Here is a 25,293-nt window from a genome sequence, read left to right as displayed (position 1 = left end):
CATCTCCCCACTTTGCTTTATCACTTGCTAATATACTGTATTCTTTACTCATTTGTTGTATTTATTATTTATCTTCCTTTACTAAACTGTAAGTACCATGGGGGCAGGGTTTTCATTGTTGTGGTTGTTTCTTGATGTCTCAGTTCTTCAGTCACTGCCTGGCATACAGTAGCATTTGATAAATATTTACTGAATGAGTGAATGAATGGTTCCTGAATTAGGAATAAGGCTTTTGTGTTGGGCATAGAGACCTAGGATCCAATTCTCGTTCCTAATTACCTGTATAAACTTGGATAAGTCTTTCTTCTCATTGTGCCTTCTTTTAACATCTGTAAAATAAAATCATTGGTTCTCTAAGGTTCTGTCCAGCTCTAAAATTACATGATTCTATACATTCTTAGTTTTTGGTGTTTTTGTTTTGTTTTGTTTTTGTTTTGTCTCCCTCTGTTTCCCAGGCTGGAATACAGTGGTGCTATCACAGCTCACTGCAGCCTCAAACTCCTGAGCTCAAGCAGATCTTCCCATCTCAGCTTCTTGAGTATCTGGTGGCATATGCCTGGCTAGTTAAAAAAAATTTTTTGTGTGTGGAGACATGGTCCACTATGTCTGAGGTTAGTCTCAAACTACTGGCCTCAAGCAATCCTCCTGCCTTGGCCACCCAAGGTGCTGGGAACATTCTTTTATTTTTAAATGCTTAGTAGTAATACACCATTTTTATTTTATTTTATTTTATTTTAAAATTGTATGCAGAGCATCAAAATCTAAAACAGATAAAAATATAACTGTTCTGGTTGAATTGGGAATAGGGATAGGAAAGTCAGGGATGGGAGAAGGAAGCCTTATCACTTGGCTGCCTACTGGCAGGTTTCCTTTGTGGTGGCTCCTGAGGCACATCCAGGAGCACTAGGGCCCTATAGGACTTAGTTTGAGAAAATCTTTGTCTAAATTAAGTGAGAAATAGGACCTGGGTCATGTCTTTGAGTGAAAATTCTGTTTATGCTTAGATATGGATTTGAAGGGAATGTTGAATAATGAAAAAAAGATGTGACGTGGTATTAGGTGGTGGAATTGTAGATGAAGTTTTCTTTCTTCAAATAATTTCATTTACTTATGCAAAAAGAAAATCAGGATAAAATTTCTGATTATATAGTTCTATTAGAAATTCATTTGGTTGAGGTTAGTCAGTACACTTGGTCTGTAGTTCCTCTTTCTTCCATAGGTACAAATGTCACACAGCCTGAAGCCTAGAGATCTGTTTTGGAATTGCCAGAGGATTAGGGGGTCTTTATAAAGTTTTTACATTAAGTTCTCACAGTCATTGCCCCATTTTATTTAAGTGGACTATTGTTGAAGTTAATAGTGGAAGTAATGTCTAAGCAGTGGTCTGACCTAGAGGAGAGTTGTCAGATATATGTATTCAACAGGACAATGAATTAAAGATAAATGACATAGGCAGTTTCTTTTTTCCTGAATGAATAACTAGATTGAACTCTGTTTGGGTTACCAGCTGGGAAACAAGCTAATATTTGTCTAGCTCTGTGATCTGAATTGTTTGAGGGGTGGTTTAGCTTGTTTGAATTTTAATATCCATTAATAATTGAGAGCGATTGCAAGCTCTTGTTTTGCTGAGTGCATATTTACCATGTATTATATTACATTTTATTAATATAGCAGTTAAAGAAACATTCAGAGTAAATTGTCCCTAGACCCATTTGACTGGTATCCCTTCCTGGATAATGGCAGTGATATCTATACCTGGACAATACCTTTCATTTAAGTATCTCAATATTAAAAAAAAATTCTAGTTTTTTTTATTATTCAATTTATTCTGAGAACCACTTGAGCCTTGTTAATTCCATGAACATTTTGACACTGAACGCTGCAGAGAAGTATGAACATAGAGATACCAGCTTTAGTAGAAACTTTCTTGTGGCTGTCATCATAGGAAAAGCAGAGCCACTTGTTCATGGCCATTATTGATTGACCCAACTGACTGGGCCTCTCTGTTGCTATGGTAACTGCAGCAACATTTGGTGGAAATATGCAAACTCAAATTTTCCAAAGACACTTATTTTGATGATCCAAAATTTAGGGATTCAACAACACTGAGAACTATTTTCCAGTTTTCCTACTTGCCCATCTATATATTTGTAATACTTAAAACAGCATTTTTTTTTTTTTGCCTAATTTAAAAGTATTTTACAAGTAGTTTGTTCTTCAATAGAGGGTTTATTTGTTTTGAACTTAAGGGAATATAGATACTGTCTCATAGTAACAACTTTTTGTTTTCTGATCTGCTTATCACAACAGTTTGTTGAATTATGGCAGATATTATTGTTTAATTTTATATATGAGGAACCTGAAGCCCAGATAGATGGAGTGACTTTCCCAGGGACAGTAGCTAGTAGTGACTGAGCATGTTAGAAGCCAGGTCTCTTGATACCCAGTTTAGTGCTCTTTCCAATAGAAGTCCAACTCAATGCATATCATTTTTCTTCCTCAGTTTGCCATTTGGATGTCACAAGATGACATTAATCAATCAATACAGATTAAAATAAGATCAATGAGGACTAGTAGTGAATTGGAACAACATTATTAAATTTACAACCCTCCAAGCCAAGAGTTGTATAAACCTCCATTTAAAATGAAAGATGATAGAAATGAACTATCTTTAGATGGATTTATGATTAACCATGTGTATCTTTTCCTTAGTGACCTGTAGAACCTCAAATCATCTCTACAGGAAATTTGCTGTTATAGTACAGCTGACTTTTCATTATTATTGTCTTCCTCAGTATTCAACATTTTGTGGTATACTGGAGGAAAATTGCATTTGGATGATAACATTAGACCTAACTTGACATTGAGTTTCATTCCAGGAAAACAGATATTTTAAAATCAAATGTATTATTTTAAAACTTAGTTGGAGTTAAACATTAATGTATAATTCAGTATAGCCTTTATCATCATGAGCACTTTTTATTACATGATTGTCCATGCATTTTAAAATATAATGATGCTCTTTAATTAGGGCCACTGAATTAGTATGCATAAAAACAATCCATTTCTCATTATACTCTCCCTGCTCCCAGCCACCCAGCTTGAAGTTGCTCTGCCTCTCCATTTGTTCCGCATCTCTATTCCCACCCCAATGCAATGACAAACAAGAAAAGATAAATCCAAGCAGTAGCTCTGGGCAGCAACTAAGCTGTGCTGGGTTGATTTCACCACCTGGTGGCAGAGGCTAAGAAATGTTTCAATATTCCTTCATTACCTCCTTTCTCCTTCTATGGCTCCTTTCTCCTCTTAGGGCTGATCCTCCCATCTTTCTTTTTTTATTCAGAGCTCAACAAATTCAACTCTAAGCAGTCTCTTTCTCATATGTGCACACATTTATTTTTCCATCCTTTCAAAAATTCTACCTTCATTTTAAAATTATTGACCCCAGGAACATTTATTGCTCCTTTCCTTCTTACTTGCCATCCTCTTATTTATGAATTTTTTTTAAAAAGTGACCTTAATTATGATTGCTGAGTCTGAGAGATCTGCCAGCGAATGTGTGGGAACACCCTTTGAAGTGATGGGCTCTCAGTTGAAGAAAAGGCCTATATTTGGAAATGAAGCACCACACAGGAAAAGGCCTAGGGCCTTAGGCCGCAGAGGTTTTTGAACACGCGCAGACATTCCCTGTTGCATTAGCAGAGCATTTCTTTCTTTCTTTCTTTTTTATTATACTTAAGTTTTAGGGCACATGTGCACAACGTGCAGGTTTGTTACATATGTATACATGTAGCACAGCATTTCTTTCTCTTCCTTCTCTGACAAAGCTGTTTTTTTTTCCAAAACACCAATATTTAAGATACATTGAAAAACCTGTTCTTACCCAGTTTTATTGCTTTTCTCTTAGGTTTAATTGAAAGCTTAGTTTTCTACTGTTTTTACTGCAAACATGCAGCAGTTTGGATGCTTTAGGGCAGTGACTCTCAAACCTCAGCATGCATCAGAATCACTTGGAGGACTTGTTAAAACACAGATTGCTGGGCGTCACTCCCAGAGTTTCTGATTCAGTAGGTCTGGGAAGGAGCCTGAGAATTTGGTTTCTAACAAGTTCCCAGGTGGTGTTGATACTTAAGGTCTGGGACTATGCTTTGAGAACCACAGCCCCAGTATTAAGTGGTCTTTTATAATGCAGATATTGGGTGATGTTTTGCAGTCCATTCTTTGGCCTAAGTGCTCACAGAAGTCACCTTGTGGCATATGGACTGGGTTCTAGTTTGCCACTTTTTCTTTCACAGCTGGGACCACTTGACCTTTAGGCTGAGACTTTGTCTAAGGACAGTAATTGTGTCTTATTACTGTGGTTCTCCAGCCCTAAGAAGAATGGGTAGGACATATTAAATGGCATTTAGTGAATGTTGGGTATGTGTTTGGATGGAGGTGGTTAGTATTGCAAGGCAGCAGGCCCAGGACATTTGAGTATTATTTGCAGTGTTTCTGTAAGAAAAAGGTTCTGGGTTATGAATGGGCTACCTTACTGTGTGTGGCATTACATGTTTGTGAAGTAGGCATTATATTTTTGCCCCCATGTTCTTTCTGATAGTAGTATGATTTTTATTGCAGGTCAGCAATTCATTATAGATATTGCTGTTATTACAATGGAAACAAAGGAGAAAATTGTTTTCTGGGTAAATTTCATTTGGCAGTTATATTGATTAGTCTTTCTAATACTCTACCTAATCTTATTTAAAATAAGAAAGAATACCTGAAATACAGAAGCAAGTGACAAATAAATGATAGCTGTTTCAGGGAGTGCCTGTGATGATATTATCTAGTAAATTGCAAATGCAGAAGGAACAGGTGCAGTGCTGAATTGGGAGACTAAATAGGCTCAGGAAATACCATATTAGCTCTTCCTTATGACCATTTTTTCTGCAGTGTAATTGAGAGCAGTGTAGCAGACGTCAGCTCAGTGGTGTGCGTGATTGAAGAGTTCTCCTTTTGCCTGCTGATTACAGCTGACTGACATGCAGCTAGCATCTCAGATCTTTCTCACTGTAAGGGCCCTTAGACACTATCCTAGTCTAATCCCTTCGATTTACAGATGGTGAAATGAGACCTGAATAAGGGAAACTCTTGTCCCAAATCACACATCCAGTAGGTGGCAGAGTTTGGACTTGAACCCTGTCATCTGATTCTAGGTGTAGTCCTCCTGTTGTGCTGTGTTGCCTTTAACCTCACTGGTCTAACTAAGCTTACTTGTAGACCTTTGGATTCCATTAAGTTACCTATGGACAGCATAGATGGGGAAGGGAGTTTTGTATGCTTTTGTCTAAATGCTTCAAAAGCCAAAAGGAATGGGCTCAGTCTCTGCCATCTTCTCCCCATGGCTGCAGCCATTGGATCCTCCATCTGTAGGCTTAGTCGTGGGCCTAGTATTGTACCTTGGTCAGACACACTGAAGGAGCTCAAGTTCAAAGCTTGGGAGTCAGTAAGATGTCATCTGGGATGCTATCTTTGACCTTCCCTTATTCCTGTGCCTGAATCCTGTTTTGATAAGTTCTGATAGAATTGGGGCCCTGCCTTGGTGTTGTCAACTCTTTCGTAACTATAGGCAAGTTGGGAAGTGGGTAGGAGGATAACATTTGTTGAGCATCTATTTTGTGCCAGTTACTTTACCCACATCATGTTATTTAATCTTCACTACATCTCTATGAAGTTTTGTCTGTGTTTCACACATGAGGAACTAAGGCTCAGAGAGATTATGGGACTTGCTTAAGGTAACCTAGCTAATGAGTGGTACAGCTGGGGTTCAGATTTGGGTCTGTTGAGCTCCAAATCCTGCACTTATTCCGCTATATCTCTCAGAGCCTGTAGCTTGGCTATAAATCCCAGTTTGTTCATTTGTTCAGTGAATATGTATCGAATCCTACTATATTCTAGCCTCTGTGCTCGTAACTGGAGAGGCAGTCCCCGCTCACATGGAGCTTACCATCTATCTGAGACTATAAAGTAATGATGGATGTGTAGAATGTTAAAAAGGAAATGCTGTAGGAATATAGAGCAGACAAGCCTAATCTAGTCCAGGGTGGGATGGGGGAATAAATCAGGCAAGACCTCTTGGAAGAGGAAACATTTACACAGAGAACTGTGTTGAAGCATGAAACAACCTTGCAAAAGACCTGAAGGAAGGCTAGAGTGGCAGGAACATAGTAAGCAGTAGTAGGCTGATGTTCTGCTGCCTGCCTGCCTAGCACAGCGCCTGGCATATAATGGGAACCCACAAATGTTTGCTGAACAAATGCATGAATGGCTAAAACAATGAATGAATGGCAATGCTGAAAGCTCATTTTGCTTGTTATATAAAAACATAATAAGTTACCTTGGGATGATTCATAGTTCCAAACAGCTTTTTCCTCCAGCTCCTCTTGTCTTTCTGTTGTTTTGGGTTTCCTTGCTATATTTTGAATGTCCACACACGTGTCCTGCCTTTCCTTCACAGCCATGGGGTGTCTTCCTGTCTCAAAGAGAGCAAAAACTGAGCTGCCCTATTATCCTCTTAGTGGCTGCCTTGAGCATGAAGTTTGAAATAGCGTCAGTGATTTGATTTTTTCCTCTGGGGATCTGGCAATTGAAAATAAATGTAGAAAGAGCCCCAAAGGAGTTTTTTCTTGGGGGCATGAGAGATGACAGCACCAGTTATTGGTGCACTTTGACAATGCCGAGTTATGTAAGTGGATGAAAAATAAAGGCTATTCCACCAAAGTCAGCTTGCCTTACTTAAGTGATTTTATATTCACAAAAGTGGGTGGTCCAAAGTGTTCTGTAATTCTGCTATTTGCAAAATTCCTAGTTTATGACATAGAGAAATAGAATTCTATAGATTGAGTTTCAACAAATGTTAATGTAGATGATGATTATGTGTTAGGTACTTTCACATTGCATTTAATAACTAAAATATAAATAGCATCTAGTTTCTAGAAAAGAATTTCTTGCCTGGAAATTCTGGTAAGAGTAGCATAAAACATTACAAAACCTGGAAAAGGTTAGAATAGCCTGTTTGTTAGCATACCTTGGTCCAGAAAAAAATGCCAAGCTAGTTTGAGTCCCTTTTTTTTTCAGGTTTAAATCTCCTAGACCCCTTGGGGTCTTCTGTTCTGGCTTTTGGACTGAGGAGTAAGCTTAGTTCACGAGTTTGAAGGGTAGTCTCGACTGACACTGATGAAACCAAGCGAATGATCTTTGGTCCTTGTTTCTTTATTGTTTTTTTTTCATTGGTTGGTTCGTTCATTCATTCACTCATAAAACATTTGTTGAATGACTTCTATGTGCAGGCCACTATAGCTAGAGACAAGTTTTACAGTCCTGTCCTCACAAAGCTTGCAGTCTGTGGGAGAGACAGATAAGAAGTCAGAAACTGGCTTCTCCCTGGATTTGGAAGCGGGAGTCTTCACCACTAAATATTCAGTCTGTGCTGGTTCCACTCTGCTTCTCCCTTTTTTCCCTTTCTCCTCCATGGACTGACTCTGTGGGTCTGTGACCCCAGAGTTTGTAGCCCTCTCTCACCTTTGCCATACTGTCTAGGCTCAGACAGTGTTCCTTTCAATGTGGTCTTGTCTGTGAGATTCCAACTGAGACTGAAGTTCTGTAGGTGAGGACCAGTCAGGAGACAGGTGAGGCCGGGAGAAATGCTGTGGTTACAGAGGTGACCTCCTTGCTGATTTTAGAGCTTCTGTTCATGCCTGCTGGCAGCATGCCAGTACAGAAGGAGCTTTGGATTCACTAATGCTTGGTTCATGGTTAGACTTCCGTGCATAATTAGTATTTTTAAAGTCATTTTATCTAAAGACTTCAAATTTAGAGACTCTAAGTACTTGAGAGACATTTTATGGATTGCAGCTGAGTTTAAAAGGATCTTGCAGCATTTTCTCCTCAGCCCTTACTACTAGCCAGCTGCTTCTAATCACATTCAGTAAAGTCCTGTGACAGACTCTTTCTTCTTCCAGCTTCTTGCAGAAGATGTCATGCCCCAGGTCGGCCTGGATCTTCCTGAGAAGCTGCACAACAGTGTTTCTCAAATTTCAATGTGTGTGCAATCACTTGGGGATCTTGTTAAAATGTAGAAGATTCTAGCTCTGTAGGTCTGAGTCAGTAGGGCTACTTTCCACTTCTAACAGGTTCCCAGATGATTTCAATTCTGTGTTCTGAGTAGCAAGGAAATTGCTAAATGTCAGGCATAGACGGGGCTTTATAAATGGATCATCACATCTGAGACTGTGACTTTACAAAGGAGGACACAGAAATCCAAAGAAGGAGAGTGACTTGCCTGAGGTCACACAGCAAATTAGTGGAAGAGACCAGGACCAACACTCAGGTCATCATTTTCCTTCTGTGTTGTATGTGTGCTTTTCCTCTGCTGATCTAGCAATGTAAAGAAGCAGAAATAAGGTTTCCTACTTGCATTTTCATGTTTACAGCAGCCTCACAGAACCAAAATCGGGTATGTTGGTAGTCTAGACTTGCCTGAAGCCCTTCTTTCTTAGGTTTTAGTGAGGCATTTACCACGGGATCTTAAGCAGAGCCTCTCTATGACACCAGGCTTTGTGTTCAGTAGTGCTTGTTGAACAGGACTTGAGTCCCTTCCACACTGGACAAGGGGAAGTGGGTGGTGCCAAAAATTGCCAGATGGCCCCAAATGAGTCTCTAGTGTGGGTTAACCCTCATAATCCAGGAGCAAAAGGTGTGTCTGGGACACTGAAGCAGCCTTCAGACTTCAGAATTTGCTTAGCACTCTTTCTTTTAGGATGTGCTAAGTGGCAAAGAGGGCATACCGGGAATAGAGTAGGTATGTTTGACCCAGAGACCCTGTCAGGGGCCTGGAGTTGGAACAACAAAGCAGCCAAAGAACATGGTGACAGGCGATGGTTGGTTTATCCGTCAAAGAGGTCCTGTGAGTTGGGGAGGGGCATAGGAGCAGACAGTCTGCAGTGATCTAGACCAGTGGGTAACCTTTTCATTCTATAAATATTTGTTGTGTGCCCATTACATGCCAGATACTGAACTGCACAGTGGGAGATGTGGAGATGAATTCCTAGAGCTCTGGTCTCAGGAGGCCCTCCAGGTGGATTCTGCATCAAGATAGTCTTTTGGAGTAATAGCAAGGTAGGACTCTGGTCTTGGTGAAACGGTTTATTAGGTGGGGATTCAGATAGAGGAAACAATCAATTCAGGGTCACACTTGCTGAACCTCTGGCATAAAGGAGGGCATGGTTTCTAGAATAAGGCAGATACCCAGTGATGGAAACCAAGGAACAAGATCAGGGCAGGAATGGGCAGCACACTGAGGCTGCTTCTGAGCTGCTAACCTCTGAAACTTGAAATCTTTCCTGATAGAAGACAGGGGTACGCTGGAGTAAAGGTCACCTGGTGTGGACGTGGAGCCAGGCACTCTGATACTGGAAAGACTTAGCCATGCAGGTTTTCCATCTGTTTACCTGTCTCTCCCTGCCTCTGGCCCTGCTTGTGAGAACTGTCTTCTTCTGTGGTTGTGGAGGGTAAGATTCTGGAAGCTTCTTAGGATCAGGCCCTCTAGGGTAGCAGAGGTGGCAGAGGCTCCTCTCCCCATCATCATTTGTACTAACATGTCTCAGGGCCTCTTAGGGCTGAGATGTCGTTAGATATCTCCTGATGGAGGCAAGTGACTAATGCCCCAATTGGGAAAAAAAAACTGGGTGAATGAGAGGTTGGCTTGAGACCATAGACCTGTCTGCATTTGAAACTGACATCTAATGACTGAGCTGGAAGGGGTGGAATATTGGTAATAACATTAACAGTTGAAGGGAAACAATGCCTAATACCTAGTAGGCTCTCAGTGAATATTTATTGACTGAGTAGGTATTAGCAAAGTGCTTTATAGTTTTCAAAATATATTGTTTCCCCCAGACTCTGTGAGACAGGCAGAGCATTATACTCATTTGATAGTAAGGCAGCTGAGGCTCAAGATGTTACATATTTTGCCCAAGATCACACAGCTGGTAAATGGTACAGCTGACACTGGAATTCAGGTCTTTTGAGTCTTATTCTAATGTCCTGTCTTTGAAGACACTTCCAAAAATGCAGACAGATACTGCCAGGGATCTTGCTATTGTACATTTAATTTTTGGTATCTATTAAACAGATATGGTTTTTTTAATGCAAAACATTTTTGTAAGATGGAAATGTGCCTCCCTGTGTGCATTTTTACCAAATTGAGCCCTTGGGTCTCTTTATTTTTAATAAGGAGGAAACACTAGGGTCTGGAACAGCTGAACCAAGCACCATTGCTGCCTACTCATTAGCTCTTTCTGTCTAATTAGATTGAAAGCAAGGAAAGAAGCAGAAAAGGCAACTATTTTGTGTTTAGCAGAAGTGGTCATGTATGGTCTTGAACACTCCCTCCCCCTTTTTCACCCTTCTTTTCTTCTTCTCTTCCTTCCTTTGCCCTCCAGAAGGCTTCTAGAATGCAGTCCCTTTCACCCTGCAGTAGCGTATTTCTTCTGCCATGAGTGGTGTCTTTGTGATGTGTGTGACAGACAGATGGACTTCTGGGACCTTAGAGACTTGGTGGGTTACTGTATCTCTTTCGTGGTGCCCTTGTGATGTGTGTGACAGACAGATGGACTTCTGGGACCTTAGAGACTTGGTGGGTTACTGTATCTCTTTCGTGGTGCCCAGTGGCCTAGTCATGTAGAGCAAAGAGGCTATTGTTTTTTCTTTAAGAACAAATTAAATACAAAGCATTTCTCTGAAGTACAAGGAGGACCTTGGGTTCCTGTAAATGGCTTAAAAAACAAAAGAAAAAAAAGAGTACACCTGAAAGATTTTGTCGGTGGAACTCCATCCCCAAGTTTGCATGTGAATAAAAAATTGCTGGCCGGGATCCCAGGCCTGTTTGTAGATGGTTTCATCTAACCATCAGTGGTGACTGTGACCTCTGGGCCTGTTCATGCGGTCAAAGTTTTCAGCTGGAATTTTCCATATTCATGCTCCTCTATTGCACAAATTGTAAGACAGCAAACATGGAAGGAAGGTGATTTATTACAACTCATAGACCTACACTTTATGTGAAGAAGTCTTGGGGAATGCCAAGGGCCAGTTGCAATTTTTCTGAGACTCAGTTTCTACCTAACTTCTTGAGCTGGCCAGCTTCACTTTCCCCCTCTCTCCACCCCATCTCCATTCTTTTCTTCTCAACCCAAATCACCCCCCGCACCCCCACTGTTCTATGTTTGTCTCCAGTCTTACCCCTTTTTTCTACCCTCCACACTGCCACCACAGTGCTTCTATGTTTCACTCTCTTACTCAAAACCCTGCAGTGGCTTTTCAGTATCTTCCAGGAGAAATCCATTCTCTGTGGCAGAGCTTGCAGGGAATTTTTGGCTCTAAGTCATCTCTTCACCCTGTGTGTCACCACCATTCCTTTGCACAGACCCTTCTTATAGCCAGACTTGCAGTTCCTGAACATACCAGGTTCTCTTTCCTGCCTCTCTGACTTCACACATGGCCTTCCTTTGGCCTGATTTTAGATCTTTAGATTTTAGTTCAAGTGTTACCTCCTCTGTGAAGTTTTCTATATATGCCAAGGCAAAATTTGGTGCTTTCCTTTCTGCTCTCAGAGTAATTCAAATGTATTCCTACTATATTATTTATTACATAATTCCAGAACCATTTGTTTGAATGTTTTTCTCTCCCTCTTACCTCAAATTCATTGCCCCAAATTCATTCACTAGCTAACCCTTTTTGAGTATTGACTCTCAGTCAGGGATTGGGATAAGTAAGGGCTTTAGATAAGTTCACTCATTTCTTCCTCCTTGGGTGTAGAGATTATTATCATCTTCACTCTACAGACTAGGAAATTGAGGCTTAGAGAGTTTAAATGACTTGGCAAAGCTAGTAATTGGTAGGCCTGGGAATTGTACCACGCACTATGCTAGATGGCTGTAGATATAAAGTTCAGTATGACACAGTCTCTTCCATCAAGGAGCTTGTGATGTAGCAGGTGAGACAGGTAAGTCATAGTGTCAGTCCAGGATGCTGAGTGCAATGATGAGGGTGTCCAGGGTGCTATGGCAGCAGAGTGCTGGGAACTAACTTATCCTGGGGGAGGGCTGGAGCTGTGTGTACACCCACCTCTGCATCCCTAGCACTTAGCACTGTGTTAAGTTGTTTTCCCCTGTGACCAGGACTCAAAATCTCAGTCACCTTTTGCTTCACTCTCTGTATTCTCATTAGTCCATCTGCAACACCTCCCTTCCCAGTGAGTCTGGAATCTGTACTGCCTCCACCCTGGTCCAGGCCCCATTCACATAATCTGCAGCAAGCGTGTGAGGAATGTGCATGAGAGTGTGAAGGTTTCTGGAGTACCAGGAGTCTCTGGAGATTGCCTGTGCTCAGCTCATTTGTCATTGCCTAGGTTTCCTGGAGCATTTCCATCCTAGGAAATTTTTTCTTGGCCTCAGGACAGAACTTCTAAGAACATGTCCCAGGATTGGGCCCTCTGGCACCGAGTCCCTCTCACCCCACCACTTCTGGCCAGCCTCTGCTGTGTACTGGATCCTGAGCTGCTTACAGAGCTGAGCGCACTGAGGTATGGCCCCTGCTCTCCAGGGACTAAGGATCCAGTAGGCTAAACTGGATGAGGGCAGAAGCCTGGCTAGACCTGGGCCTATGGCAGGGCTGGACCAATAGACGGGAATCAGCTGATGGCAGGAGAAGAAGGTTGCAGGGACAGGGAAACAGGCAGACCTCATAGATGGGTCAGCTAGAGAGGAATGCAAACTGATGTATATCTAGGTGGGATGGGACTGTCAGAGGTCAGAGGAAGGAGAGAAGTGAAAGGGCTGGCCCCGTGGTCATTACCCAGATTTCTTTCTGTTAGGGTAACCTCCAGGTGGAAGTTAGTTTCAAACCAGCAGAGACTAGGATGGCAGTTTTAATCTGAAATCAAAAGAGGTGAACCCAGTATCCAGATAGGAAACCATTCTAATTTTTCCAGGACACAAAAGGAGTAAAGGGAATAGAGAACAAAATGTAAATAGCTCCCTTATGTGCATTGTGCCAGGTGCATGGTATGTTATTTAGTTTCCACAGAAACCCCATGAATCTACATTTATGAATGGGGAAACTGAGACTGCAAGTCATACAGTGAGGACACAAAAGAACGAGCAGTATTTGAAGCCAGGTATGATTCCAGAGCTTCTCCTCAGTGTTCTGCTTGTTCTCAGGGGACTAAAAAATACCCCCAGTGGAGACAATTGAGTAAACTCCTGAGTACCACATAGTACGCCAAAAACTGACCAGTATGAAACTGCCACCCAAGGAGCAAAAAGTTGTTAATGAAATATTTGCCAGCATAGGCTGTGTTATAATACTTAGAAAAAAACCCCAATGTTTTCTGCAAAGGGTCAGGTTCTTTTTACTTTCTCTTCCTTGTTCTGAGCATGATCATCTTTTCCAAGAGCTATGGGTAACCTCATGACCCTAAGATCTCTGAAAGACCCTTGTCTGTTGGTACCTTGATGAATAATCCTAAAACAATATAGGCTGGCCTGCTAGAGCCCTCTCTGTGAGTGTGTGTGATCTGTCTCACTGCCAGAGCTCATTTGGGCTCGTTTAATAATTGAAGGCCAGTGTTAAGCATTTTGCAGTTTGTCCTTCGTAGACAGGAGTGGTTTTCTGTGTGTAAAGTGATATGCTCTATTCTCCAAGGACACTCTGTTTCCTGAAGTGCAGCTGACTCAGCATGTTCAGACGTTGCCATTGGGTAACTTAGATTTCATCAAGTTCTCTTTTAAAGAGAAATCTCTCCCATCTCATCTTTGAGACAAGTCCATGAGGCTTGGTGGTGGCTGGGGCTTGAGATCACCTTACTGGGAGTTTGCACTAGGGAAAGTGGGCTACAAGGCAAGCTCAGCCACTTCCCATTGTGCTGAGGAGTCAGTGCATTTAGTCACTTTAACAAAAAAAGAGGGGCCATTGCAGGTCTCATGACCATCTGTTCCCCCTGTGTCGGTCATTCTAGGCTGGTTCTAATTACAGTATCCCTAAATCATGTGTTCTTCCTTGCTTCCAGGCCTTTGCATGTGTTGTTCTCTCTGTCTCTTGGTCTCTGTCTCTTTTTCACCTTCCCCCATGCTTTACTGAACTCATCTTTCCCTGTCTAGTTCATTTCAGGTCTTGCTCTCCCCTGGGGTGAGGACTCTTTGTCTGCACCCTCATAGCCCTTTTTGTCTATGTTTCTCTTAGCACTCATTCCCTTTTGTGGGAGTTACATGCTTACTTGCCTTTCCCCAGCAGACTGAGAGCTCTTTGGGAATGAGGGAATCATGGAATGTATGAACAAATGAACAAATTGAGGTGGTTTGTAAATTCTGCTGCTGAGGAATTTTTAAGGAAGAAAATCAGCATTTACTGAGGACCTATTATGTCTTAGGCACTGGACTAGATATTTTACATGGGCAGTCTCATTTAATTTTCACAATGGCCTTGGATTGTGAATATTAGAGGTTATACAAAGAAGCCAATCTTCCTTCAGTCTTTCATTATCATCCTTCTGTTTTTGGACTGACTCATCATAAATGACCTGCTTTATAATTTAATAATGAGTACTTTTAAAACTTAAAAAAATTACTTTCTTTTAATTTTGCAGTTTCACAGTTTAGCATTGAGTACAATAATGTATCAGATGACTGTCAAAATGCAGAACCAACTCTTTTGCTGGAAATAATTACACTTTGCCAAACCCGTTTATTTTGAGCAGCTCCAGTGTGATAATGTACTGAACTGTAAATGTGAGTCTTGTGATGTATGGATTATGTGGGGGGATCAGAATGGCAATTAAACCAAGTGCAGATCCACTGGATGGGTGTTAAAAAGGGAAATAGAACATGTCCCTTTGTTAAATACATTCCCCTGAAGATAAGTTTGTAATTTGACAATCTAGGCAGCTGGAAAAATTAGAAACTGCTTCACTGGAGAAGCTGGCCTGATTCTTCAAACTTGCACTTGGAAAATGAAACCATTCGTTCTCTTGGTGATTCTCTGGTCAGATTGCTTGTTTCTCAGTCTGCAGGCAGTTCAGGATCTCTATGCATACGTAGACCTGCTCCCTTCCAGGCCAAGTCTACTGTCTTGTGGGAATGGTTGCTCTAATCTCACATCACTGGCCTCCCATATAGGCCACTGTAGCCTTAAACTTGGTCTGTCTAAAGGGAGACTTTGCCTGCTAGAGTGAGAGTTGAAGTTGGACAGATGTGTTTGAATTCAGATTACTATCACTGATTGACAACTGTGTTATTTAGGGAAAGTTGCATTCCTCCTCTCAGCCTCAGTTTTCTCATCTATAAAATGGAGATAGTTCATTGAATTTATTGAGCACAGTTATGTGCCAGCCACTTCCAAGGCATTTGGGGAATAGACAGAAATCCTTGTCTTTATGGAGTTTACATTTTAGTGAGGAGAGACAGACATTAAACCTAGACATAAGAAATAAACTCAAATACCATGTTAGAAGATAATAAATATAATCAAAAGAAGAAAAAAGTGAGAGCAGGGTAAGGGATTTTAGGAGTTCTGGGGAAAGTGTGAGTTGCTGTTTTGTTTGTTTGTTTGTTTTTGAGACAGAGTCTCGCTCTATTGCCCAGGCTGGAGTGCAGTGGCGCAATCTCGGTTCACTGCAATCTCTGCTTCATGGGTTCAAGCGATTCTCCTGCCTCAGCCTCCTGAGTAGCTAGGACTACAGGCGCGTGCCACCATGCCCAGCTAATTTTTTATATTTTTAGTAGAGACAGGGTTTCACCGTTTTAGCCAGGATAGTCTCGATTCCCTGACCTTTTGATCCACTCGCCTTGGCCTCCCAAAGTGTTGGGATTACAGGCGTGAGCCACCGTGCCTGGCTGCGGTTTTTTTTTTTTTTTTAGATGGAGTTTTGCTCTTGTTGCCCAGGCTGGAGTGCAATGGCACAATCTCAGCTCACTGCAACCTCCGCTCCCCAGGTTCAAGCGATTCTCCTGCCTCAGCCTCCCGCGTTGCAGTTTTTAATAGGCCTCACTGAAATAATGACATGGAGTTGGTGAGGGACTTAGCCATGCAGATATCTGGGGAAGCATGTCCCAGTGCAAAGGCCCTAAAGTGGGAGCAGGCTTGGCATATTCAGGAAATAGCAAGGAAGCTGGCATGACTCAAGTGGAGTGAGTATGGGGGAGAATAAGAGAGGATGAGTTCAGGGAGATAATACCCTCAAGGGTTGTAAGGATTTAATAAGTGATATCTATAATGCATCTTGCTCTTCCATTTCACTACCCATTTTTCAAATGGTTTGGAGTCTGTTACCCAGACTCCAAACTTCAGTGAGACTTTGATGTCTTCCTTTTCTGCTCACATTGCCAATCACTTACTGTGTTCTGTAACCATCTCTCTCTCTTCTGTCCCTTTTTCCTCATTCCCATTACCCTTAACCTAGTTGTTTCCAAACTCTTGCCTGTCTAATCACAGTGGCCTCCTAGCCATTAGATCTGAGGCTTCCGGTCTCTCCATCTCCATCCCTCCCCTTACCCTTTCCTTTTCAGGCCATGATGCAGTATTGAGCCTTCTCTCTCCTGCTTATAACCTCTCAGCTGCTCATTAGTGTACTCATTTATTCATTCCTTTGTTTATACATTCAGCATCTTTTGAGAATTTACTAATGCTCAAAGTCATTTGAATTCAGTCTAATGGAGGAAGCAGACTTGAAATAATTATAATACCAATTCAGAAATGTTTGTTTTTACCCTAGTTTGTTGCAAAAAGGATTTGGGGTTCAATGATTTGTTATGTAATATGATGAGTAATATGCAGCAGCTCTCTATATATGTACAAAGTTCTGCTCTCTCAACCTAGCATTTAGAGTCTTCCCTACTGAGGCACAGTCCTGCATTTCTAGTTTCATCTCCCAAAGTCACGTTAAGTGAACCTTTTGCTTCACCTAAGGGGATAACTTGCAGTTCTGTAACTTGACTTCTCTTTCACACATTTATACCTTTGCTCACACTCTTCCCTTTGCCAGGAGTGCTTTTTGCCTAATCCATATTCTGCTTTTTTTCCAGACTAGCTTTAGATGGCATCTCCTTGGAAAGTCTTCCCTGATGTCCAGGTCCTAATTGATCACTTCATTCTCTGAACTTCCAGTAGGTAGGGGGAGAGAAAGAGAGAGAGAGAGAGAGTGTGTGTGTATGTGTGTGTGTGTGTGTGTGTGTGTGTCTGTTCCTGCTTTATTTATCTTACTGATTATGAATTCCTTAAGTCATGGGGACATTTTCACCTACAGCACCTGGCACAGCACCTTTTCCATAGGAGGCAGTAAATCTTTGAATGAGGGAATGAATGGATGTTTCCCAGGCCATGACATCTGGGGAGGGATTTGCCTTGGAGGTGCTTTTTCTTATGTTGATATAAATGAAGTGCTGACAAGTTCCTGGAGCCCAGATGTATTGACCCTGCAGGGAGCTGCTACCTTCTGGTGCTGTAATTCAGAATGCATGTTCTTGTAGAAGCCATGATGTAAATAGTTTCTACAAGTAGTTCTCTCACTAGTTCCAAACATCTGACTTAGAAAAACATTTTTGGAGTCTTGCTCATTCATAAGTTGGGGACTGTCTCTGTTTTGAAGTGCTCCACTTGTACCAGCAGGCAGGTGGTATCTGCTTAGCTATACCCACAGGCACCATGGAGTGGAGAAAGGAACACAGACTTCGGGTCATACAGAGATGATCAGCTGTACCACTTCTTAGCTTGTGACCTTCAGCAAGTTACTTTACTGATTTGAGACTCAATTTTCTAATCTGTAAAACAGGAATAAAAATACCTACCACAGGCATAATGAGGATGAACAAGGTAATCTGTGTAAAGGACAGTGCCTAGTAAGTACTTATAAACCCCATTTAAATAATCAAAACAACAGTAAATTTAGTTTCATTTGCATCTCTGAAGTTCCTGTGGACTAGGATAGTGCTTCTCAAATGATACCGTGCATATGAATCACCTGGGGATTTCATTAAAATGCAGAATCTGATTTAGTCAGTCTGGGTTGGGACCTGAGATTCTGCATTTCCAGCATTCCTATGCTGCTGATACGGAGACCATACTTTGAATTGCAAGATGTTTGGGTGATGGTTCTCGAACTATAGCCTGTTTCTGAATCACCTGGAAAGCTTGCTGAAATGAATTTCTGGGCTTCACCTCTGATGATATACTCATGCAGTAAGTCTGGAGTGGAGCTTGAGAATTTGCATTTCTTTCTTATTCATTTATTTATTTATATTTCCATAGATTTTTGGGGAACAGGTGATATTTGGTTACATGAGTAAGTTCTTTAGCGGTGATTGTGTGATTTTTGAGACCCATTACCCAAGCAGTATACATTAAACCCAATTTGCAGTCTTGTATCCATCACCCACTTCCCACCCTTCCCCCCTGAGTCATTGAAGTCTATTGTGTCATTCTTATGCCTTTGCATCCTCATAGTTTAGCTCCCACTTATGAGTGAGAACATACAATGTTTGGTTTTCCATTCCTGAGTTACTTCACTTAGAATAATAGTCTCCAATCCCATTCAGGTTGCTGCAAATGTCATTAATTCATTCCTTTTTATGGCTGAGTAGTATTTCATCATATATATGTACCACAGTTTCTTTATCCACTAGTTGATTGATGGGCATTTGGGTTGGTTCCATAGTTTTGCAATTGCAAATTGTACTGCTATAAACATGCATGTGCAAGTATCTTTTTTGTATAATGACTTCTTTTTCTCTGGGTAGATACCCAGTAGTGGGAATGCTGGATCAAATGGTAGTTCTACTTTTAGTTCTTTAAGGAATCTCCACACTGTTTCCTGTAGTGGCTGTACTAGTTTACATTCCCACCAACAGTGTACAAGTGTTCCCTGTTCACTGCATCCGTATTCAAATAATATTCCCAGATAATGCTGATGCTACTGATTTAGGGACCACACTTTGAGAACCGTTGTGCTAGGGGGATAACAGGGATGAAGTTAATAAGAAAAAACAGATAAATGATAGTGATTGTTCCACTCCAGGATATTTGTATTCTCTGCCTTTTAGCTTGTACATGTCCATAGAGTAACTATTATCAGACCAGGCTTGGAATGTCTTATTAATTATTACACAGCAACAAAAACCAACACTTATTGAGTACTTATTATGTGCCAGGTATTGTGCTAACACCTTTATATAGTTTCACTTAATTCTGATAATAATCCTGTGAAATGGATACTATAGTTTTCTAGCTTGGTGTTTCCTATGCTAACCAATTCATAAGAATCACCTGGTGTGCTTGCTAAAAATACAGATTTCCAGGTCTCTACTTTGATTCTAATCTGGTGGGGCTCAATGCCTCCAGGTAATTTATAAGCTCAGATAAAGCTAGAAATCTCTGCTGCAGTTAATCAGCTACTCTGCTTCTCTTTCATCTATGTCCAACACAAAATGCCAATTTTTAAGAAATAATAATAATGATAATAAATTTGACACTGAAAGCTGCACTCAGCCAAATTTTCCTTTGATGATTCAGAAAGCCCTTTAGGATCTCCAAATGCCTTAGAGTCCTCATTTTGAACATTCTTGGACTGTAGAGGTACAGAAGGGCCAGGTGATAGAGCGATGTATTTACTACAAAGCCAGGGAAGCCCATGCCAACTGTATAACTTTTGGCTCTCTTGAGCATTTTGTTTGGAAAGTTATTCTAGGAAATTGGTCTTCATTGCATCCAGATGGATGCTGTGATTCCACAGACTTTTAAGAAAAATGGAAAAAAAAAGGTTTTACTTGCTTGTCTTCAGGCCAGTTTGTTTGCCCACAGCAAGGCCAGTGTGGCCAACCACTTGTTGCAGCACAACCCATCACTACGTCAACAGTCCCTGCACCTGCTGCTGTCCCTCACCTGGCCAGACTCTTTAGCTCCTCCCTGGTTTTCCAGCCACTGGCTTCTTTGCCTAGCCTTTCCCATGTAGCCTGGCATTGCCTTACCATATCTCATTGGAACTTGGCTAAGGATGGAAAATGGGAAAGGTTCATAGTTTTATTTGTAGTTGGAAATTCACCAATCCCCTGCCTGCTCTAGGAGATCCTGTCTGCATGCCTTGCTGTGGGTGGTGGAGTTGGGCAGTGAGGTGTCGTGAGGGTGAGATTGTCTGTGAAATGTACCACGCTTGAGTCATCAGCAAAGACTGTTATGAGATCAAAGAAAATGGAGGTTTTCTTTAGTTTTACTGATGCCAATCTGAGTTGTTTTTTGGGTCAGCTGAGTTAATGGTCCTCAGAATAGTTTTTTCTTGCTAATGGAAAAAGTGTTTCAGTTTGATGGAATGAGCACTGGACCAAGAGTCAGAAGAACTAGGGACTCAGATCACCTCTCCCTTTGATTTCTTCTGTGACCTTGGGCCAGTTAGGTGATCATCTCTGAAGAATAGTTTTCTCTTTAAAAAGGGGAGGTTGAGCTCAGTAATCTCAGGATGAGCTTGATATTCTGTGATCTTGTGATGACCTAGTCGCAGGAAATATGCCATCAAAATAACTTGTCCCAAAATTCAGTCAAGTTCACCCACTCAGCCAATATGTATTCAGCATCTGGTATATTTCAGGTACTGCCCTGGGCATTATGGGGGATACAGTGATTAATAAGGCACATTGATCCATTTACTCATTCATTCATTCATTCATTCATACAACGAGCATCTACTTATTGAGCACCTATTTATGCAAGCACTATACAAAAAGCTATGAGAGATACAAAAATGAATTAGACACAGGTTTTGTTGTCAGTCAATATGCCATCTAAAAGGGACGTAAGATTGCAATAAGGAAAGCCGTTCCTAACCATATTCTCTAAGAGAGGACCTCTTCTTTTATTCTCCATTCCTTTCCTGCTTTTACTGGCACTTATCATCTGACCTTATTTTATCTGTTTAGTATCTGTTTCCGCATCAGAATTTAAACTCCATGAGAGCAGGGCCCTTTGTGTTGATCACTATTATATTACAGTGCCTAGAACAGTGCCTGACACAAAATAACCCTCAATAAAATACTTTAAAAATAAAATATGTATGAAAGAAGCTAGAAACTATGTGTCATAAAAGATATTTAGATAAAATGTTATGGGAGCTCAGTGAGAGGAGAGATCTCTTTTAACGAGGACAATGGTTTTTAACTATGGTTGCATATTAGAAATACCTTGAGTTTCTCTCACTCTTTCTCCATAAATAAAAATAAAATAAAATAAAATACTTAGCTGAGGGCAGTAGTACATGCCTGTAGTCTCAGCTACTCAGAAGGCTGAGGCTGGAGGATCACTTGAGCCCAGGATTTGGAGGCTGCAGTCAGCCTTGGATTGTGCCACTGCATTCCAGCCTGGGTTCAGAGCAAGACCCCAACTCTAAAAAAATAAAATAAATTAAAAAAATAAAAACATTAAAAATGTTACTTGCCAAGCCCTACCCCAAATTCATTAAATCGTCATCTCTGAGGATAATGCTTAGGCATCAGTATTTTGTAAGAGCTCCTCAGGTACTGATAATATGTAGCTGAAATAATGTGAACTAGTAGAATAGTCAGGAAAACTTCATGGATGAGGTGGGATTTGAGCTGGCTTGAAAATCCGTAAGATTTGGACAAGAAGGAAGCATTCCAGATGGAGTGCACAGCATGAACAAAGTACAGAGGCAGGAATCACAGACTGAGTTCAGGGATCAGCAAGTAGTTCATTTTGGCTGTAGCCTAAAGAACACAAAGGGAAATAATTGAAACAATGTTGTAAAGGTCAACTGGGGCCAATTTGAGAAGACCTTTAATGCCAGGCTATAGGATTTGGGCTTCATTCAGTCATGTAGTCAGTGAGAATTGTGAATGGTTATTAATCAAATGATGTGATCAAAGCCTTCCCTGGCTGCCCTTGGAGGATGGCTTGGAAGTAGGCAGGGAGACCAGTAAGGAAACAGTTGTCAAAGTCTAAGTAAGGTGGGCTCTACTGAGGGCTGCATCACTGGTGTTGGAGAGAAGGGCTGCAGTAGAGCCTGTACAACCAGGCTGTGTGAGGGCTGCCTACACTGCAGCCACAGGTCTCTTTTCTCTTGGTGGAGTCACTGGCATTGCATTTTAATCAAGCCAGGGGAGTCAGTCTGCACTGGCATTCTCTAGCCTAGCTTTTTCCTGTGCATGACTGAGGAGTAGATAGTGCAGCTAAGCCTCCTTCCTGAAATGATAGGCTGTTTTATCCAGAGAAGCATTTCTACAGGCAGAACTCAGTACCCCCCAAAGCTACCTCTGAGATAGGTTTCTATTATCTTACAATAGCAGTATGTGTCTTCTCTAGCTAATTCCAGCACCATGAATGAAGTCAGCTCTACCAGTGTCTGGAGCTGTTAATTTCTTAAGCTCTGGGTGTACTAACAACATCCTGCCTCCAAAAAGACAGCTTTGAGCTAGGGCTGGGGTCAGGGGCCCAAGGGTGTATTTCTAGTAGCTTCATAGCAGGACGCTCATTTATAAACAGCTGAAGTTTTTGGAGGCACAGGACATCTGCACAGGCAAGCATGCCATATGTGTGTGGGGCTGGAAGAAAGTGGGGCTAGTGGAGGCAGGATGGTGATTGGGTCTAGTATTGCTGATACAGGCTTATGCAGAGAGGACTGCCTGCCCTTGGCCAGATGCTGCGGGTAGCCAGTGCATCCCCAGGGTCATATACTACCCAAAAGGACAGGCAAGCAAGAGTTGCTAGTGCAGATATTTTTTCTTTCCCTCTGTCTGTTTAGCCAGGGCTGACCTAACTCACAGTCATTTGTTTCAGAATGTCAGTCCCTGAGATGGGCACAGACTTTACAGTTTGTAAGGATCCTTTGCACCCATTATCTCATTGGAATCTCACAGCAGTCCTATGAATTAAGTAAGATAAGAGTTATTGCTCCATTTTACTAATGAGAAAACTGGGGCTAGGATAGGGTAAAGTAGCTTATTCTACAGTTGTGTGGATGTAAAATATGAAGGCTGTGACTTGTTGAAGCTGGAGCCGAGAGGCCACTTGTCAGGGCTGCCTTAGGTGGAATGTATACACATTGTGGTAGAAGAAGTAGTGAATGCTTTGGCTCCCTCATAATCTAGCTGGGTGATTCTGCGCAAGTCCTTTATTATGCCTCTCACTTTTGTCAGCTATAAAATGGGAATATAGCATCTATTTAATAGGATTATTCGAAGATTAAAATGATCATTCATTATGAAAGTGTTTAGTACAATGCCTGGCATACATTAGATGATGTTCAGTTCGTTCCTTGGTTTTTAAACTTTTTAATTTTGAAATATAGATTCAGAGGGAAATTGATACAGATGATCCTATATACGCTTCACCCAGCTTCCCTCAATGATAGAATCTTATGTAACTGTCGTATCATATCAAAATCAGGAAATGGGCATTGGTACAATACCTCTTGTTAACTAGGCCACAAATGGTATTCAGATTCCCTGTGTTTTTTTAAAGAAAAATTATATCATTTCTGAGTTTGTTTCTGGTTCTGAAATGTTTTTATACAGTGTCATCATTATCCTTGACTTTTCTCTGGCATCTAACTTTTTAGAAGCTTTGTTCTCTGTTGGTTTTCATAACACTGTGTATTTCTCCTTGTCATCCCCCTGTCTCCTTCACCATCTTCTCTTCTTCTCTTCTATACTGTATGTCTCCCAGATTCAGTTCTTAGCCCCTGCTCTTCTCTCTGTTTGTTTTGTTTTGTTTCTCCCTCTTGGATAGGGTCTTACTTTTATCTTTATTCTGGAATCAGTATTCCCACCTCCACTTACCAAGCCCCTCTCTAGTTCCCTGTTTTTGACTATTTGCTGAATATAAGCTCAAACTCATCATATCCAAAGCTAAATTTGTCATTTTTTTAAACTCCAAACTACTACCCAGCTACCTCCACTTGACTTCCCTGCTTCCATTAATGAGTTGTCATTCAAAAACTGCTCAGGGCTGTACGAGGGGACTTTTTGGTGATAGATATGCTCATCATCTTGATTGTGGTAAAGATTTTACTAGTGTAGGATGGGCATGGTAGATAATGCCTATAATCTCAGCACTTTGGGAGGCTGAGATGAGCAGATTGCTGGAGCCCAGAAGTTTGAGAACAGCCTGGGCAACATGATGAAATCCCATCTCTACAAAAAATACAAAAATTAGCTGGGTGTGGTGGTGCGCACCTGTAGTCCCAACTACTTGGGAGGCTGAGCGGGGAGGATCACTTGAGCCTGGGAGGTGGAGATTACAGTGAGCCATCGTGCTGCTGCACTCCAGTCTGGGCAACAGAGAGATCCTGTCTCAAAAAAACCTAGGTGACAAAGAAAGACTGTCTCAAAAAAAAATTTTTACTAGTGTGTACATATGTCAAAACTTATCAAATTACACACATTAAATATATGTGTGTGTGTATATATATGTGTGTATATATATTTTATATATATTTTAATATATAAAATATATATATTATATATAATATATATATAATATATATAAAATACCTCAATAAAACTTAAACAAAAAACTTCCCAGAGCCAGACATGAATCCTGGCCCCATCACTCATACAAGTTACTCACCTTTCCTCTGCCTCATTTTTCTCATTTGTAAAATGAGGGTTATAACAGTAATTTACCATATTGGATTGCAGGGAAGATTGAGTAGGTAAAGTGCTTAAAACATTACCTGATACATATTAAGTTCTTCAAAAGTATTTGTTGATGTTCCTCTCTTATTCATCTCATGTGCCCCATGTCTGGCACAGAATAGGTGTTTAATAAGCGTTTGTTGAATGAATGTTGCCACAGTCTTGAAGTACTATTTTCCCTCCCTGACTTTTATTTAAATATTGCTTCTTCTGTAAGGTCCAGCTTAGGTTCTACTTGATCTGTGAGGTCTTGTCTACCCACCTGAGCCACGAGGCCCTCCTGGCCACCCTCCTCTATCCCCAGCACTGATGCTTTGTATTAGCGTATTTGTTACTGATTCACAGCCAGATTTTTGGTTTTGCCTTTTTTTTTTTAAAGTGGCTTTCAGTATAGATATCTTTCTTCTTCATCTACATTGGACATCTTCTGAGGGCACATGTAATTTCTGATTTTTTTTCTCTATGTCCTCTTCGCCTATGCTGGGCATATAGTTGGTTTTCAGTAAAAGTAGAATGAATGAATGAATGAGTGAATGGTGTATGATTTGCAAAATATTAGGGAGAC

General features: G+C 41.1%; 1 protein-coding gene across 3 annotated transcripts in view; it reads left to right on the top strand.

Annotated features, from left to right (window-relative positions):
• The window catches only part of SERGEF (secretion regulating guanine nucleotide exchange factor), a 225,000-nt gene that overhangs the window by 77,151 nt on the left and 122,556 nt on the right, over nucleotides 1-25,293 (top strand). The window contains exon 10 of one of the 3 annotated variants that reach the window (NR_104040.2): nucleotides 17,118-17,202. The exons of the other annotated variants lie outside the window; for them this stretch is intronic. The gene's annotated coding sequence lies outside the window, so the exon portion shown is untranslated. The remainder of the gene's footprint in view (nucleotides 1-17,117; nucleotides 17,203-25,293) is intronic. 3 annotated transcript variants of the gene reach the window in all.

This window comes from Homo sapiens, chromosome 11 (genome assembly GCF_000001405.40).
Source record: "Homo sapiens chromosome 11, GRCh38.p14 Primary Assembly".
NCBI lineage: Eukaryota > Metazoa > Chordata > Mammalia > Primates > Hominidae > Homo > Homo sapiens.
Note: the sequence above shows the minus strand (reverse complement) of the source record. Positions and strands in the feature narration are given on the sequence as shown.